At 50.3% G+C, this 17,695-nt stretch overlaps 2 protein-coding genes across 5 annotated transcripts in view; both read left to right on the top strand.

The window, feature by feature from the left end:
- TMEM185A (transmembrane protein 185A) overlaps positions 1-11,653 on the top strand; it is a 35,237-nt gene extending 23,584 nt beyond the window's left edge. For 2 of the 4 annotated variants that reach the window (NM_001174092.3, NM_032508.4), the window contains 4 exons: positions 4,139-4,222; positions 7,730-7,906; positions 8,532-8,655; positions 9,954-11,653. In NM_001174092.3, the coding sequence (NP_001167563.1) occupies positions 4,139-4,222; positions 7,730-7,906; positions 8,532-8,655; positions 9,954-10,198 (630 nt within the window). In that variant the 3' untranslated portion in view covers positions 10,199-11,653. Of the gene's footprint in view, positions 1-4,138; positions 4,504-7,729; positions 7,907-8,531; positions 8,656-9,953 lie in introns of those variants that run through there. The other 2 variants (NR_104121.2, NM_001282302.2) reach the window with 2 other exon arrangements.
- HSFX2 (heat shock transcription factor family, X-linked 2) lies at positions 12,895-15,697 on the top strand. The gene is made up of 2 exons (NM_001164415.3): positions 12,895-14,072; positions 14,910-15,697. The coding sequence occupies exons 1-2, from the start codon at positions 13,509-13,511 to the stop codon at positions 15,615-15,617; spliced, it is 1,272 nt and encodes a 423-aa protein (NP_001157887.1). The 5' UTR covers positions 12,895-13,508; the 3' UTR covers positions 15,618-15,697.
- The last annotated feature ends 1,998 nt before the right edge of the window (positions 15,698-17,695 follow it).

The following is a 17,695-nucleotide window of genomic DNA, read 5'->3' as shown; positions in this document are numbered from 1 at the left end:
AAATAACAATTTTTCTTTCTTCACTTAGAACACTAGCTTTTCACCCAGGACATCAGCCTTCTCCCAGCTTCACATCCTGTATCAATCAGACAGAAACAGAACTGATAGGTTAGATACAGATATATGTATAAAGAGAGTTAAGGAACTGGCTCACATTACTGTGGGGCTGGCAAGTCTGAAATCTCCAGGGCAGGTGAACAGGCTGGAGACCTAGGAGGAGTTGACACTGCAGTCCTGGCACAGAATTTTTTCCTCTCCAGGAAACCACAGTTTTTGCTTTTAAGGCCTTCACCTGATTGCATGAGGCCCACCCATGCTATGGAGGGTAGTCTCCTTTATTCAAAGTCAGTACCTTCACTGCAACAGCAAGCTTAGTGTTTGATTAAATAACTGGGTACTATAGCCCAGCCAAGTTGACACTCAAAACTGACCATCTCCCCACCTCAGACCCCATGATTTAGCACCTCCCCTGCTGTCTGGTTAGCTTATCCTGATGTGCCCCTGTGTTTGTTTATTCATTCAATAAACATTTATCAAGTATTTACTAGATGCCAAGCCCTTTTTCCCTAAGCATAGAGGATATGCAGATGAATAAAATACCAGGACTAGTAATAATAGTAATGAAAGTAATTGCAGATAACGTTTATTGAGCACTTACTGTGTGCCAGGCATTGTGCGAGGCACATTACATGTGGTAGTTTTCTTACTAACTAACTCTGTGAGGTAGGTCCAGAGAAGATAAGTCATTTGTTCATGGCCACATGTGAAGGGGCAGGACCAGGATTCCGTTTGAGTCAGCCCGACTCTAAAGCCCGGGCACATAACTACATAACTGCATAGAAGCTGAGGGCCCAAAGCTGAATACTGATGGGTTGAGGGGAGAACTAGAGGCTGTAGATGCCTGGTTTTGAGCCGTGTGGATGAAGAGTGAAGGGAGAAGACTGCAGTTGGCTTAGGAAGTAAACATAGCAGCTGTAGGGTGGGTCAGGCATATAAGCCTAGACCCCAGGTATGGGCGTGAGGGGAAGGTATGTAGACAGAGGGACGGTGATGGAGCAAGGCCCTGTGGGACTCAGGGAGAATGGGACCTAGAGCACCAGGAAGGGTTTGGCCTTGAACAAGGGGAGCTATTCCCTGATTTTCATGCTGGTGGAAAGGCCACAGCATGGGTATAGTGGTAGGTAGGAGTGAGCCGTGGAGGGAGAGTATCTGATGGTCCACTTTCACCCTCCCTACAATTCCCAGTTTATATCAGGGACTTGAGCATCCATGGATTTTGGTATCCACAGGGGGTCCTGGAACCAATCCCCCACAGATACTGAGGGACAACTATACAAGGACTAGGACTGCATTGGGCCTGAATTACAGAAAGTAAGTCTTTCATATATTCACACTCTAGGCATTCCTGCCCTTGGAAGAAACAACATACCAGGAGCTGAGCTCCCTCCTCCTGTGATGCAAGAACAGTACCTATGTTGGTGAGGGGGTGGTCTGGAGTAGGCTCATACAGAGATGGGAAGGAGGAGTTGAGGGTCTGCCAGGAAGCCCTGTGTTGGGAGGGAAGGGATGGCATTTTTGGGACACATTGAAGCCTAGAGGCAGGAAACACTCCATCAGCTGAGTGGACTGTGGCGATTCAGATCCGACGGGAGCACAAGGTGGAAAGGAAGGAACTGTGGGAGTTGAGAAGAGAGGGAGCCTCTACAGAGGGATTGGGGCAAATAGGGGCCACGTCCTCAGCCCACAGAGCATGTGCTGAAGTGCCCCAGGCACCCCAGTGCACTCACAGGGCACCAGGGGATAGTGGACATTTTGAGGAAAACAGTAATACCTGACATTTGTTGGGACACCATACAAACTACTAGCTTGAAATAGTTTACAGGTTTATTTTTAGGCCACACTGCATTCCTTTCAGTGACGTCGTATCTTTAAGAAGCTGGGTTTTCAGCAGTTGCTGTGAAAACAAAAAAGGCTAATGCTGTGTGAAAATCCGGGTGAAGAACAGGTAACGAGTGGGAGCACCTTGTCTGATTCCAAGGCGTGGGAAATGGTGAGCTACCTGACAGGCACACGCATCCCACTGGGAATTAGTTTTGGTTATTTAAGAATAATATTAACATTTTTCTTTAGATTTATATGAATTATTTTTTCTAGTGGCTACTTAGAAATACTTACTAAGTTAGATGTAATTACTTAAATCAGTGCAACTGTTGGCATTCCCAGCCACATTAGGGATTTCTTTTGGCCTAGAGGTCTATGGAGGAATTACTAAATTCCCCATGTACCTATGTACTGAGAACTTTTGGGAAGCTCTGGGCCTGGTCCCAGATTTCAATTTTGTGGGCAAGAATGTACTTTACCAGAGTGAGGAGCAGCCTGCAGGGCGTTTGGGCTGGAGGCGGGAGGTTAGTAAGGGGTTGCTGAAGTGGTAGGCGGATGGTGCCGAAGAAGGCCTCACTAGGCAGTCATCATCAGGATAGGAAGTGGGCACGGGATTCAGGAGAAATCTGGACTTTACAGTGGACAGGATGTGGTGACTGAACGTGACAGTGTGGGAAAAAGAATGCAGGGTGATTCCCGGGCTCATGGCTTGAGAAATGAGACCACTGTTGTGCCTCCAAGTGACATGGGAGGCTATAGAAAGTGACATGGGAGGCTATAGAAAGTGACATGGGAGGCCATAGAAAGTGACATGGGAGGCCATAGAAAGTGACATGGGAGGCCATAGAAAGTGACAAGGGAGGCCATAGAAAGTGACATGGGAGGCCATAGTGACATGGGAGGCCATAGAAAGTGACATGGGAGGCTATAGAAAGTGACATGGGAGGCTATAGAAAGTGACATGGGAGGCCATAGAAAGTGACATGGGAGGCCATAGAAAGTGACATGGGAGGCCATAGTGACATGGGAGGCCATAGAAAGTGACATGGGAGGCTATAGAAAGAGGAGATACAAGGTTCTAAGTGCAGGCGATAATGATCTCTATTTGGGACTGGCTTCATTTGAGGTGCCTTTAGGAGAGCCGAGTGGCCTATGCACAGCTGGGTCTGCTATGCAGCAGGAAGGCTAAGTTGGAGACAGATGTGAGAACTAACCATGAAGGAGGTAATAATGCAGACCAAGGGTCTGGTTGAAATTTCTTCTCCCCCAGTCCAGGGTGCAGCGGGTGAGTGAAAATATGTGTGTTTGTGTGTCTGTCTTCCTAGTCGGGAGAGAAGACTGAGTTTGTGGCTCTGCGGAGCATCACCATTTAAGGAGGGGGAAAAGGAGACAGAAGGAATTACCAGAACACTCCAGAGGGCTCCAAGACTGTATGGTGGGATCTAGATGGCCAGGAGGAGGGGAGCAAAAAGGAAAGAGTCATCCACAGTATCAGTAGGATGCCAGTTGAAGTGTTTTTGCTGCCTCCCGGTTATCGGTGACTTTGATGAAAGCTGTCTTCTGGTGGTCATGGGGGTGGAGGCCAGATCACAAGGAAGCTGGGAATGGTAGATGAGATAGTAGGGGCTTGCATATTCATTACTGTCTCGCAGAGAGAAACCTGAGGCTAAGAGGGGTCTTGGATCAAAGGATGGGGTGGGTTTATCTGGTTTCGGGGCTTTTGTTTTTAATGAGAAGGAGTCATTTCTGTGCTGCTAGGAGGGATCAATGGAATAGGTGGGGTTAAAGATACAGTACGGAATCTACAGTTGATGGCTTGATGTGACAAGGTCCTCAAGGAGCCTGAAAGGAAGGGGTGGGGTCCAAGGGCAAAACCGAGGTATGAGAAGAAGGATGCACAAGGATGGTTTCGAGTAGACAGTATTGTTGGTAGGGACATGAAGGAAGTTTAGTGGTCTATTGCAGCTAGCCTGTGTTCCCAGTGAACCTGGAAACAAGGTTCTCATCTGTGCTCAGGCCTCAGGCCAGAAAGGGCAAGGCAGCAGAGGGGCAAGGCAGCAGGCTGAGCCCCATTTCCCCTTGCCATAATACTGCTGTGCCCCTCTGGTACCGAAAATCAGGAGTTTCCAGTGCAATATAATATTATACAAGTTACACTGTATTATAATGTGTATTGTCTTTTAGTGTGTTAACCAAATTACTGCAGTATTAAATGCAAATTATACTTTGTTTAACTGATTCTTCTCTTCATTTTTAGTTAGAAATCCTGTGTTCTGTCAACATTCTCCAGTTTATATTCATTGCCTTAAGACTGGACAAGATCATCCACTGGCCCTGGCTTGTATGTAACTTTTAAAATCCTTAAATAAAGTTCTTTTTTATTATAAAAGTAATTCATATTCACTGTACAAAGCTTGGAAAAGACGGACAAGCAGAAGTAATAGCCTAATAGTCACCCATAATCCCACCATGGGGAGATAACATGGTTAGTGTTTTTATGTCTGTGTTTTATACAAACAGTTTGGATATAACTGTGTGCACCATTTTGTATCCTGATTTTTTTGTTTTAATGTTGTATCATAAACATTTTATCATGTTAATAAAAGGTCTTTATAAACATGACTTCTAAAGTTTAATTGATACAAAATATTCTTCAAGTGCATGTATCAGACCATCCTCTTATTTCTAAAATATGGTATTTCCATTGTTGCCAGTGTTGAATGATTTTAAATCATACTGCAGTATATATGTTTATGCATTAAAATTTTTGCCTTTTGTTTTTTGGTTGTTTTCTTAGGAAATAGTCCAGAAATAGTGTTACTGAGCTAGAGGTTGGGAACTATTTGAGATTCCTATATACGTATACTGCACTGCCAACTTGCTTTTCCAAAAGCCATACCTGGCCAGGCGCAGTGGCTTACACTTACAGTCCCAGCACTTTGGGAGGCCGAGGTGAGCTGATCACTTGAGCTCAGGAGTTCGAGACCAACCTGTGCAATGTAGCAAGACCCTGTCTCAAAAGAAAAAAAAAAAAAGCCATACCCATTTACACTCTTGCTGGTGGTGGCATCTATGTCATGCTTCTAAACTGTGACTTCAGTTACTGGGCATTTGGTTGAAATTAACTGTGAATAAATGGGTAGATGGATGCAGAGATAGAAAGATAAGTGGCAAGGTAGAAATTAGAGAACACAGTATAGATTCCACTATTAAATGCATGGAAAAAAGATGGAGACTAAAGGCAGAAGAGTTCCATTGCCACTGGGAGGTAAGGTCATGCTAGTGTTTTTGTTCGGTTTTATTTTCTCTGTTGTTTGATGTATAATTTTGCATACAATATATTTTATGTATTAAATATAGCTACCCTTAAAAAGTGAAAAGTATAGTAAAGAATTGGGAGCAGAGAAGAAATGAAGGGAACCTAAGTATACTCCATATTTAAAGATGGGAATAATCACTTCTGCCCAAAGTCTTTGATAAAACATTCATAATAAAAAATATTCAGTCACTCATCCTACAACTTCACAGTGCTGTATCTGGAGAATGGTCATTGGGTTCAAAACTGTTTCTGTTGTGACGTGAAGGAAACATATCTAAACAAGACCAAATTTTTTCGTATAAGATACTGTCAGGGAAAAAAAAGATTAGTAATTTTGAGAGCTTTCCACAAATGAGAAGAAAGATTTTTTCTGCCCTTCATCCTCTGTAGATCCCAGTTGATGAAGCAGTCTGAGTACATGTTTCCCATAGTGAGCAAGAGAAAACAAGGAAGCCTATTGAGATCTAACATTCCACCCATGAAGGGAACTTCAGTAAAAAGGAGAATCTCATCACAGAATGGGGAACGGGGAAGAAAGGCTGTGCATAGACTCTGCAGAGAAACCTACAATCAAGAACTGGTCAGGAGAAGTAAAATTCGTATGCCAACTCAAATCATAGATCTAAAAGAAAATGTAAAACTATAGATCTGTTAGGAAATAACATAGGACAGAATCTTTGGGGTTTGCAATTAGGCAGAGAGTACTTAGAAATGGCACTGTTAATATGGTCCATACGAGAGAGAAATCATAAATTTGGACTTCCTCAAAATTAAAATGAAATGAAGACAGGCCACAGACTGGGAGAAAATATTTGCAAAGCACACATCAAAACACTGACTTGCACCCAGAACATACAGAGAACTCTTAAAAACTCAAAACTGCAAAAAGAAACACCTAAAAATTGGCAAAAGAGTTGACAATTTGCGAAGGGGATATACACATGGCGAAAAAGCACAGGAAAAGATGCTCAACGCCATTACAGGTTAGGGAAGACAAACTACAACCAGGATGAGGGCCCGAAACACATGGCTTCAGAATGGTGAAACTCAGCAACACTGACGAGGCCACGTGCCTGGGAGGATGCAGAGGAACTGGGACACTCCAGTGTTACTGGCGGGAAGGCAGGTGGTACGGGCACTGTAGAAAATGGTTTGGCCATCTCTGATGCAGTTAAAAGCGCACTTCCCGTGGGACTTGGCTGCCCCACTCCTGGGTATAAGATTTACCCCCAGAGAAGTGAAAGCGCGCAGCCTTGTAGAAACCCACACACCAGTGTTTGTAGCAGTCTTGTTTGCATTTTGGATAGCGGCCTTGTTTGGTTTTCACAAACCACCCTCAGCGGACAGTCAGATAAACTGTAGGCATCCATACAATGGAATACCACTCAGATCTGAGAGGGAACGACCTGTGGATACAGGGAGGGAACAACTTGGATGAATCTCATTAGAGACATTATGTGGATGGCGGGAAGCCAGTCTCAACAGGTTACTTGTCTCGCGATGCCATCTACATAAAGTTCCAGCAGAGACAAAAGTACAGTGAGAGAACAGATCAGTGTTTGCCGGGGCTAATGGTGGGGACGGTGTGATAGTGAAGGGACAGCACGGAGAGTTTTGCAGGGTGACAGACCTCTTCTGCATCCTGCCAACGGCTGTGTGAATCTACTTGTGTGAAGACTCAGGGAACTCACACCAAAGGAAGACGGTCACTTTTCCTACTGTATGATAGATAATTAATAAAAAGGGAGAACGGAGGAGTGTCGTCCCAGGAGGCAGGGCAGGAGGGCGAAGACGTGTCACAGGGGAGCCTGGCCAAGTGGCGCCCCCGGAACTCGTCCTCTGGGCTTGTGTGTGGATGAGACAAGGTCTACCTGGTACGACAGGGACATACTGGGAATGCGCCCTTGCCGTGGAGGCGGGGACCCGGCAGCGCTACGTATCCAGCATCAACCTGTATCCAGCATCAACCCGCCAAGTTCACTAACTTGGTAGGGGTGAGGTTAGGGATCCTTAGGAGCCCAGGCAGCCAGACTTTCTGGGGAGCCCATTCCCATTTGTGTTGCCAAAGTACCCCCAGCAGGTTGTGGGAATGTTGCCTGTGAAGAGAGTCTGTTGGGGTGAGATCTTGTGTGTGTGCACAGGGTGACAGTTGTGTCCCATTTCCCGGGAAGCTGTGATGGCAGCAGAACCTAGAGGAGCCTGAGAGAGTGTGGGAGAGTGGGCCTCTGGAAGAGTAGAGGCTGCGGAGCCAGGTGCAGGGCTGTCTGTCACCCAAAGGAAGAGGGACTGATGACTCACTGAGCGTGTGTGTCCCCTGGTGGCAGCAGGCCCCATAGTGAACATACCATACCTTTTCTGTCCTGAGCGATGCTCCCAGCAGTCCTGGGAGATGGAACGGTCCTTATTCGGCTCACAGGAAGGACCGCCTTAACTGGACAGACACAGCAAGGTGCTAAAGATGCCTTCCATCAGAGGCCAGGTTGGAAGCTCTAAAGAGACTTCTCTTGCTGTTCTCTCACCCACCCCCAGGTTGTGTGTGTCCCGCTGTGGATTCTCATGTCCTTTCTGTGCCTGGTGGTCCTCTACTACATTGTGTGGTCCGTCTTGTTCTTGCGCTCTATGGATGTGATTGCGGAGCAGCGCAGGACACACATAACCATGGCCCTGAGCTGGATGACCATCGTCGTGCCCCTTCTTACATTTGAGGTAAGCGTTCCACGGGAAGCCTCTTCAGCCCCTGAAGCTTGCGCTTCCCCTGACAGGATTCTGCACCCCTAGAAAGGCAGCCTCTGTCCCTCGAGCTCACAGTGAGCCCACTCCAGGAGAGGGGAGAGAACACAGCCATCTCCGAGAGGGAGCTTCGGTGAAAGGAGAGCATCCTTCCTTTCTCTTGGGGGCAGCACGTGGGGCTGGCAGGGAGAAGAGTGCACCTTTTTAGCCATGGTGCCTCTGTATGGCTCCAGTTTCCACTCTGGGGAAAGCAGAGTGGGATGTCAGATTTGTGTATTGGAGTCACGTGGAGAATTCTAGAATGGGAGCTGTTGACTCCTTAGAACAAACACCCGGAGGAGTTTGCCATAAAACTGCTGGCACTGGGAACTTTTCAAGTGGATAGGCTATTGCCGAGCTCTGAAGAGGGACATAAAAGCTCATTTCGAGCTTTCCCCAGGGATAGGTGGTTTCCTGCCTTTTTCTGGCGGTGCTGATGTTCCCTCTTGTGGGAGCTCACGCGGGGGTGGGGTGGTGGGGAGGAACTGCCTAATGAAGTCTGGCTTCCGCCTCTGCCCATTTTCGGTGCTGGCATCAACCGGGACTATGTCTCTTTCTTTAGATTCTGCTGGTTCACAAACTGGATGGCCACAACGCCTTCTCCTGCATCCCGATCTTTGTCCCCCTTTGGCTCTCGTTGATCACGCTGATGGCAACCACATTTGGACAGAAGGGAGGAAACCACTGTATGTACTCAGCATTTCAGAAGTCCTTGGTGTGTGTCTGGGGGGGGACCAGGGGGTGGGGGGTGGCGGATAGAAGTCTAGGAAGGGATGAGTCCCCGAGGGCCCCAATTTAGAAGCTTGTGTGGGAAAGTGAGGGCTGAGGAAATTCTGGGACCTTCTAAGGGAAGGGCATGCCGTAACTCTGGTGTTCTGCTGGCCTGCACCGGGACTTTTCTCGCAGTGCACGCTGCCATTTGAGGTAGAACCAGACACGGCAGGCAACCTCTCAGAGATCCCGTTCCCTCCTCTGCAAAATGGGGATCAAGACAGATTCTTCCCAGGCCCGGGAGGGTTTGATGGAAAATCCACATCTCCCACCCAAACCTGGGATTCATCCTAGGTCCCTGTTGGCCGCTCTGCCTCCCCCATATCCTTGCTGCCATCACCCGAGTCTTGCCTGTCTTGCCTTGCTAACACTCTATTCCCCTCCACCTGCTTGCTGAGGCAGACACTTCCAAAACGATCTCTGCAGAGGGTGCCTTCCTGGCAAGGCTGTGGGCTCCATGGCACGGAAGCCCAGAGCATTGCCCTTCGGAAAGCCAGTGGGTTTGGGGGCAGGGCCTCACTGCAGCCCAGCAGCCCGGGCTGTGCTTGCTGTTTGTGCCTCTGCCCCCTACCCCGCACCCGGGAGCAGGGAGGGCTTGCACCGAGCTGACACTCCAGTAGCCTACAGAGAGGAGTAGTGGGACTGGGAAAGTGGCTTTAAGGTGGCTCCATGAGTTCAGGCCCCCTCCTGGCCAACCCGTGCATGACTACCGCCCTCACGGATTCCAGAGGGTGACAGAAATCTTGTTCTTGGGTGGCACTGTCATCCATGAGTTTATCCTGGCTGGAGAAGATTAGCGGAAGACACCGTAGTCTGCGCACCACAGATATTTTGAGACTCACTGGAGCAGTAGTTCTCAAACTTGGGCATCCAGCAGAATCCCAAAAGGGCCAGGAAAAGGGGACCGCTGGAGCCCACCCTAGCCCGACTCAGTTTCTGGAGGTCTGGGCTGGGGCCCGAGAATGGCATCCCTAACTAGGCCCCGTGGACGCTGTCCCTGCCGGTCCGGGAACCCCACTCCAAGCACCACAGAGCTAGCATTTGCACTTCTTCCCCATTTTGGGTACTCAAGCCCTGTTCAGGCTTTGTGACTCAGGAGTCTGGATAAAGTATGTTATGACATTGTAGGAGTGAAACTTCTTGTTACGGAAAGAAAGTTAACAGGAAGGTCAGTTGAGCCTCGTGTGTGAAATAAAAAATTCTTATTTTTCAGGGTGGTTTGGTATCCGCAAAGATTTCTGTCAGTTTCTGCTTGAAATCTTCCCATTTCTACGAGAATATGGAAACATTTCCTATGATCTCCATCACGAAGATAATGAAGAAACCGAAGAGACCCCAGTTCCGGAGCCCCCTAAAATCGCACCCATGTTTCGAAAGAAGGCCAGGGTGGTCATTACCCAGAGCCCTGGGAAGTATGTGCTCCCACCTCCCAAATTAAATATCGAAATGCCAGATTAGATGCCACTTCCGGGGACAGAGCTTAAGTGGACTGGGACGCACTCTCTCCGCCTTCCTCTGCCCCCTCGTTCACCCCGCAGACCAGAACCAGTACTGGAGCTGGGTCTCCAGGTACGTCCATCTCATGCCTTGTTTGCATCCAGCGCCTATCAGCCACTCACCACGACGGGACGCGGAAGTGGCAGGTGACGGGGGTGTGTGCCAGCAGATGCGGATGCCAGGAAGAGTGTGAGAACAGGGGTGGGATTACCGTCTGTCTGGGAGGGGCTCCAGGTACCCCTCTTCCCCGTCAGACCCACTGGGAGATGGCTGCTTGCCAGGCCCCCAGAAGGAACATCTGTCTATACGGTGCTGAAATCCCAATCAAAAGTATTGTTTAGAAATGTATTTCTCCACAGGGCTGACCTCCTGCAGCTCGCTGAGCACTCCCAGGTCCTCAGCACTCCCAGGTCGTGGCTGGGGCAGTCAGTAGGAACTGTAACTATGTCTCTGATGCACCACGTGTTTAGACACAGCACAGTCCTTTTTTCTGTTCCTACTGTGGAAGTAGTTTCTCTTTGGGCATGCTGACAGCAGTTTTTCATAGCCTCACGGATGAGCCCTTTCTACGGGAGTGACTCCATGCTTGTATACAGAGTATTTATACAAATGTTTTAGCATCTTCATATGCGGTGTTAACCCCTAGTTCTGTACAGCATATTCTGTTCAAGTATTTTTTTACAAGCTTGTGCTGTAGGCACATGCCTTCTGCTGCAGAAGTGGACGCCCGTGGCACACTCCCCCCCCCCCCGTGGGGTGCCACGCCTTCATGGGACATTGCCACTTCTGCCCTGGAACTCGTGCAGGTACGTAGTAGCTGCTACTGCCACAACGGCAACACCAAGCAAGAGATGGTCCATGCTTTTCTGACGTTCTCAGAATAGTGGCTAGCTTCAAACCTGACAAGCGCTGCTTGAAGCCGGAACACTAGAGAATGTTGCTGAGAGCAGAAACGGCCACGCGGGTCACGACTATGCGTGGGAAAGTCTCAAGCTTCCCTCCTGCCAGCAACAAGAAGGCTTTGGAGTAGGCATGATGTTTTCACGTGTGCGTGCCGTTTCTCCAAGCACTGCAGGTTCCACCGTGTGTCAGAGGCTGCAAGTTTAACATCCTCCTGCCTGAAAACAAATAGGTCCTTTGCTGAAAAGAGGGTAAAAAAAGAGCTTTGATCTTCTCAGCCAGGAGAAGAGGGTGGTGTTTTCACGCGGGCAACTGCTCGCCGGCCTACATGGGGTTAATTCAAGTCTGCTGCGAGCACGACTCCGCCCTTGGCACTGGCCTCCAGCAAGCCCTGTTCTCTTTGGGGTACAGGGGAACGGGATGGTTTAGACTTTCCTGCTCAGTGTGTAAAAAATGTAGCTAAAGCCACTATTTTTGCTCTCCTTAAGCTGTTCAATAAACCGGTTCCTCATTTTACACGTGCATGATGTGTATCTTCTTTGCTGGATGGGCCAGGAAACTGGAGTGGTCCTCTCAGCCAGCCTCAGAGGAAAGAAATCTCTAGCTGGCACAGGCAGCCAGTGAGTGAGGCTGGCGGCTGCAGGGGCACAGCCTTTAGAATGAGTCCTTCAGTGCACAGGTCCCAGGGTATACGGGGTAGTGGGAGGAAGGAGGGGACGCCTCGCAGATGCCACTGTTGGCTGGGCTACACCTTGCCACACTTGTTACTGCTTAGGAGGCTTTCTGGAGTGTTCCTTGGGTGCTACGACAATCTGCAGCAGACACTGTCCTTTCACCGCTCCTGGTCCTCGTTTGCTCCCCAGTGATGTCAACAGCTGAGGACTGCTCACGCTGCAACAAAAGGCTCTGCAGTCGCTGTCTAGCTTGCCCTAGTCGTCTCTAGAGTTCTGCCTGAACTGAAACTCAAGTGGGGTTCAGCTCATGACTTGTGGCAATTGACCAGGAAATTCACCAGTTGCTGTGGCTGGAAGGATTTTCAGTCCTGTGGGTTGTAACCAGAGGCCACAGGTGGATTCTGCCTTAGGCTCATGAGATTTCCGACTTGCTGTTGAAGAAAATGCCTTGTGAAGTGACAACAGTAGCTCTGACCCAACTGCCGGTGCCTCGCTAGTTCCTATACGTCCCACTGGATCCTCACAGCCCCGGGAAGCAGGTGCTACTACTCTTATCCCCGGGAGGAGACAGAGGCCGAGAGAGGTTAAGTGACGTGCCCAAGTCACACAGCTCGGCAGCGGCCGGGTTGAGCATCAGCAGTCTGTTTGCAGACCCCTCACTGTCACCCCCTGAGCCAGTGCGCCTTGGGCCCTGCGGTCAGGATGTCTCAAGCGTGGAGGCATCACCGGTTCGTGGCAGTCTCTGGAAGGTCACTGAGCTCTGTGCCCAGAATCGAGTCGGGGGAGTCTGTGCAGAGGTGGCCCTGTGTGTGGGGACAGTGTGTGACACAGACACTGCTTTGGATGGACACCTCTCCCGTGACCTCCTAGCATCCAATCCCAAAGGAACAACTGTTGCAGAGATGGACCGCTGGACACAAACCCACGTGCGTTTCTCTGGAGACACTGGCCAAGGAAAACAAAACATGCTCGAAGGCCAACAGCTGCATGCCCCACCGCGATGTGACCGCAGACACCCGGGGTGTAGAAGGGTCTCTGCCTGGTGGGGGGACACGTGCAGGCCGAGGAGAGGCAGGAAGGAGGCTGCCTCCGACTCCCCACTGGACTGCATGGCGACGGCGTGTGGTGGGGCAGTCAGCTAAGCCATTTGCCTAAGGGGCTGTCGGGCATCTGCGTGCTGGGGACCGACAGTGTGGGTGTGTTAGGAGGATCTGTATGGAGCACATTGCTGCCTCTGGCTAGGACAGGGTGGAAAGGGTGGCGTGGCTACAGCCTGACCCATGGGCACCGTCCTACCCTTTGTTCTGTGCTTCCGAGTGTCAGTCATGTGCTGGGGTCTGTGGGCCCATGACTCAGACGGTGAGCTCTGACCTTCCTGAGCCAGGGCTTTGCTGTAGTTGTGCCTGGCTCAGGAGCTCTAGGACAAGGGGACCGCTCCAGGTCTGCATCTACGGTGTGGCAGGGCCCCTCGGCACTCTTGTGCACTAGTGTCATCTTTCCCATTGAAATGACTGTGAGGACCAGAATGTGCACATGCAGATGGGCAGCTACTTGTCTGCCTTGGCCCTTTATTACACAACTTGCTGGGGGTGGAGATGCCACCCCCCGGCAGTCAGAGCCCCTTTATGATGTCATGGGGCTGGTTACATGACTGCCAAGGGGTGCTGCTGGCCACACTGCACTAGCAAGTTTGCCAGATGGAGGACAAGCGATCATTGAGTATGGCTCGCTGTGAAGAAAGAAATTCGAGGGGACAGGATCATGGCTTGGAAAGGGTGCCTTTCCCTCCCCAGTTGCAGTCAGAGACCTACCTTCACCCAGCAGATCCTTCCCCTGCCTGGGACGACCCGGGGTCCACTGGGAGCCCTAACTTGAGGCTGCTGACAGAAGAAATCGCTTTCCAACCTCTGGCCGAGGAAGCTTCGTTCAGAAGGCCGCACCCTGACGGTGACGTCCCGCCCCAGGGAGAAGATAATCTCCTCTCCCTCCCCTTTCCACAGAAACTGTGGAGACTGGTCAGCAGCAACCAGTTTTCGTCCATCTGGTGGGATGACAGTGGGGCTTGTAGAGTGATCAATCAAAAACTCTTTGAAAAGGAGATTCTCAAAAGGGACGTCGCACACAAAGTGTTTGCCACAACTTCGATAAAGAGCTTCTTCCGCCAGCTAAACTTGTATGGCTTCCGAAAACGGCGTCAATGCACTTTCAGGACCTTCACCCGCATTTTCTCCGCAAAAAGGCTGGTCTCCATCTTGAATAAGGTAATGAACGACAAGCCTCTGGAGGGGTTAAGTCGGTGGGCTCTGGGGCCTGGTCGGGTGGAAGTCCCAGGACTGCCTCCTGGGAAGTGGGCGACCTCAGGCAGGGTGTGGGGCCATCGCTGTGGGCCTGTGTCCCCCTCTGGGTGGAGGTGACATGAACTAAGAGTGAATGTGGGGAGAGGGCTGAGGATGGTGCGGGCCCCTCTCGAGTGTGTAAAATATCACAGGTGCCAAGTAGCCGTATCTGCGTGTCGTCCTCCCCGGGGCCAGCCATGTCATCTGGCGGTTGCTGTGTCCCCCTGACTCCACAGCACATTACCCTGTGAGGTGAGCAGGCCAGGGGAGTCTGGTATTTGTACCACTGTCACCCTAGCTGGTGTCTGGAGAGGTGCTCAAGTGGAAGCACTGAAGGGCGCCTGGCGCAGGAGGTGCAGATGCTCCTGCTGCCCTTGGTAGGTGGGCCCCTGGTGTGGAAGAGCCAGTACCCAGGGCCTCCAACCCAGCCGGGGTGCATTCTGTTGCCAGCTGACACTGCATGGGGGAGGCCCAGAATCTTCTTCCCTCCTGGTCTGCAACTTCAAAGACCCTTTCCGCCGGCCATGGACACCCTAATCTGCCATTTTGAGGCTTTTTCCAAGACGGAAAGGCCCGCCACAACTTGGTAAACCTTGACGATGTGAACGCGAGTCCCCAGCTTCCTTTGGGGACTGGGACCTTTTCCAGAAAGGCCTCCTGGGCCAGTAGAGTTCTCTTGCACAGGGGCGTAGATGGTTGGTAGTTGTAGTCCATCCTTGTGACTTGCAGTTTCCTTTTGTTTATTTAAACTTTGACTTATAGTTAGAGTTCTACTGCCATCCTTACTTTCAAAGAGACTCCCCTCACCTCCTCGTGAGGATGAAGAGAAGAGTGGGTGTCAAGTCTGCACCAAGACATCAGGAGGAGGACAAGCCAGAAGCTGCTGGATCCTGTCTGGCACCAGCAGACACTGAGCAACAAGATCACACGTCTCCGAATGAGAATGACCAGGTCACACCGCAACACCGGGAACCGGCCGGTCCCAACACCCAAATCAGGAGTGGCTCTGCTCCACCAGCAACTCCTGTGATGGTGCCTGATTCCGCCGTGGCGAGTGACAACAGTCCAGTGACCCAGCCGGCCGGCGAGTGGTCAGAGGGCAGCCAGGCTCACGTCACTCCGGTGGCCGCTGTCCCTGGGCCTGCAGCGCTGCCCTTCCTCTATGTCCCTGGATCTCCCACTCAGATGAATTCTTACGGGCCTGTGGTGGCCCTTCCCACAGCGTCCCGTAGTACCCTTGCCATGGACACCACAGGACTTCCTGCACCTGGCATGCTGCCCTTTTGCCATCTCTGGGTACCGGTGACCCTAGTGGCTGCTGGGGCTGCACAGCCTGCTGCCTCCATGGTCATGTTCCCCCATCTCCCAGCTCTGCACCACCATTGCCCCCACAGCCACCGCACGTCACAGTACATGCCAGCTAGCGATGGGCCCCAGGCGTACCCAGACTACGCAGACCAGAGCACATAGAGGGCAGCATTTGGGCAGAATATGTGCTGGTCAATAAATGTGTCAGAAAATGAGTAATTTTCTGACTGCACAAAAAAGTCTTCATGGTCTCCATCCTTTTTCTTTCTTTGCAGTCCAGTACCCCCCTCCGACATCTTTGGCTTGCATGATAGAGACTTCAGCCTAACACGCCTCCCTGGAAAAGTGCCCAGGAGATACTCGAGCAGGTGCTGGGTTTTAGGAAGCCCCTCAGACATCCCGCCTCTACTCATTAAAAATTACCTGGAGCTGGCCGGGCGCAGTGGCTCATGCCTGTAATCCCAGCACTTTGGGAGGCCGAGGCGGGTGGATCACGAGCTCGGGAGATCGAGACTGTCCTGACTAACACGGTGAAACCCCGTCTGTACTAAAAATACAAAAAATTAGCCGGGCGTGGCGGCGGGCACCTGTAGTCCCAGCTACTCGGGAGGCTGAGGCAGGAGAATGGCATGAACCCGGGAGGCGGAGCGTGCAGCAAGCCGAGATCGCGCCACTGCACTCCAGCCTGGGCGACAGAGCAGGACTCCGTCTAAAAAAAAAAAAAAAAAAAAAAAAATTACCTGGAGTTGCTCGCTGAGTGCTAATTGTGCTGCTAGCATTGCCGGCCTAGGGTTCACAATGACTCTGTGTTACTGGCCATTCCTTGTCATGGCGGTGCCTTTATATAACAGGATCTTCACTTTACATACAGATGAGATCACGTCTGGCTTTGTCATTGGGTTAAAAAGTGCCCTTGATAGTTGTGGAGGTGACACATACTACCAAGGAGTCCTACGGGTTTGCAGTTTAGAGGGTGCTCATTAGTGTCTGGTGGACAGGATTTATGTTTGGCTTTTATGTCTGTACTGGATCTGGTGGGGTTTTTTACTTCCTTCCTTGATTCCCCCACTATGCCCCCACTTTTTCTTTCTTGTTTCCCTTCCTTCCTACTTTCCTTTCCTCTCCTTTTTTCTCTCTCTCTCTCTTTGCTTCCTTCTTTCCTTCCTTCCTTCCATCTCTCTCTCTCTCTGTGCTTGCTTGCTTCCTTCCTTCCTTCCTTCCTTCCTTCCTTCCTTCCTTCCGTGTCTCTCTCTCTCTCTCTTTCCCTCCCTTCCTTCCTTCTCCTTTCTTTTGGAGTCAAAAATTAATTTAAAAGATGTCATGTCATGTTTTAACTTAGGAAGCAGCCTTTTCTGCTCACTTGGGGTGTTCATCTTAGAACACATGCTATCATCGACGAACTTCTTTGACTGATCAGAGGAAATAGATTCAAGTTCTTACCGTAGACACAACTGGGCACAGACATCAAAAGAGCTCTGAAATCAGGGCGTGCAGAGAGCCCCAACACCCACACACCAGAACCCAGAGGTATCCCTGCCTGTGATTTTTAATTTGACAGTAGGTGGCAGAGTCCTGGGAGACGTGGGAAGAGGCCATAAGAGAATGCAGACATGGGAATGGATTAATCCAGAGTCCAGCCATGGTCTGCAGGTGGATCTCCCTGTCTCGGCCTGCTCACTTACAAATGGGTGCTCATTTACAAATCGGTGTGAATCACATTTCATCATTTGTGAGCTCCTTAGTTTCCAAGAAGTACAGTTTTCTCATGTGTTTCTTGGACTTTATGCATATGCCTCCAGAGTTTGAATCATGCAAAGATGCTGCCACTTAAAAACCTCTTTCCTACAAACTTACACCCCTCCGATCGTGGTTTTCCTGTGAATCTCAGCTGGGCACGATGGCTGACGCCTGTCATCCCAGCACTTTGGGAGACTGAGGCAGGTGGATCACGAGGTCAGGAGTTCAAGACCAGCCTGGCCAAGATGGTGAAATCCTGTCTCTACTAAAAATACAAAAAATAGCCGGGCACGTTGGCAGGCACCTGTAATCCCAGCTACTTGGGAGGCTGAGGCAGGAGAATCGCTTGAACTCAGGGGGCAGAGGTTGCAGTGAGTCGAGATCACGCCACTGCACTCCAGGCTGGGAGACAGAGTGAGACTCCATCTCCAAAAAAAAAAAAAAAAAAAAAAAATACTGTTAGAAGAATGGAAAAAACTATATAGATGGAGAGAAAATATTAG

The sequence above is a fragment of the Homo sapiens genome, chromosome X, assembly GCF_000001405.40.
Source record: "Homo sapiens chromosome X, GRCh38.p14 Primary Assembly".
NCBI lineage: Eukaryota > Metazoa > Chordata > Mammalia > Primates > Hominidae > Homo > Homo sapiens.
Note: the sequence above shows the minus strand (reverse complement) of the source record. Positions and strands in the feature narration are given on the sequence as shown.

Bases quoted from the DNA above. Each gene is read 5' to 3' on its own strand.
- HSFX2 (NM_001164415.3), top strand. From the start codon at position 13,509: ATGGAGGACAAGCGATCATTGAGTATGGCTCGCTGTGAAGAAAGAAAT. The intron at 14,073-14,909 runs GTAATGAACGAC...TTTGACTTATAG, and splicing joins TGGTCTCCATCTTGAATAAG to TTAGAGTTCTACTGCCATCC.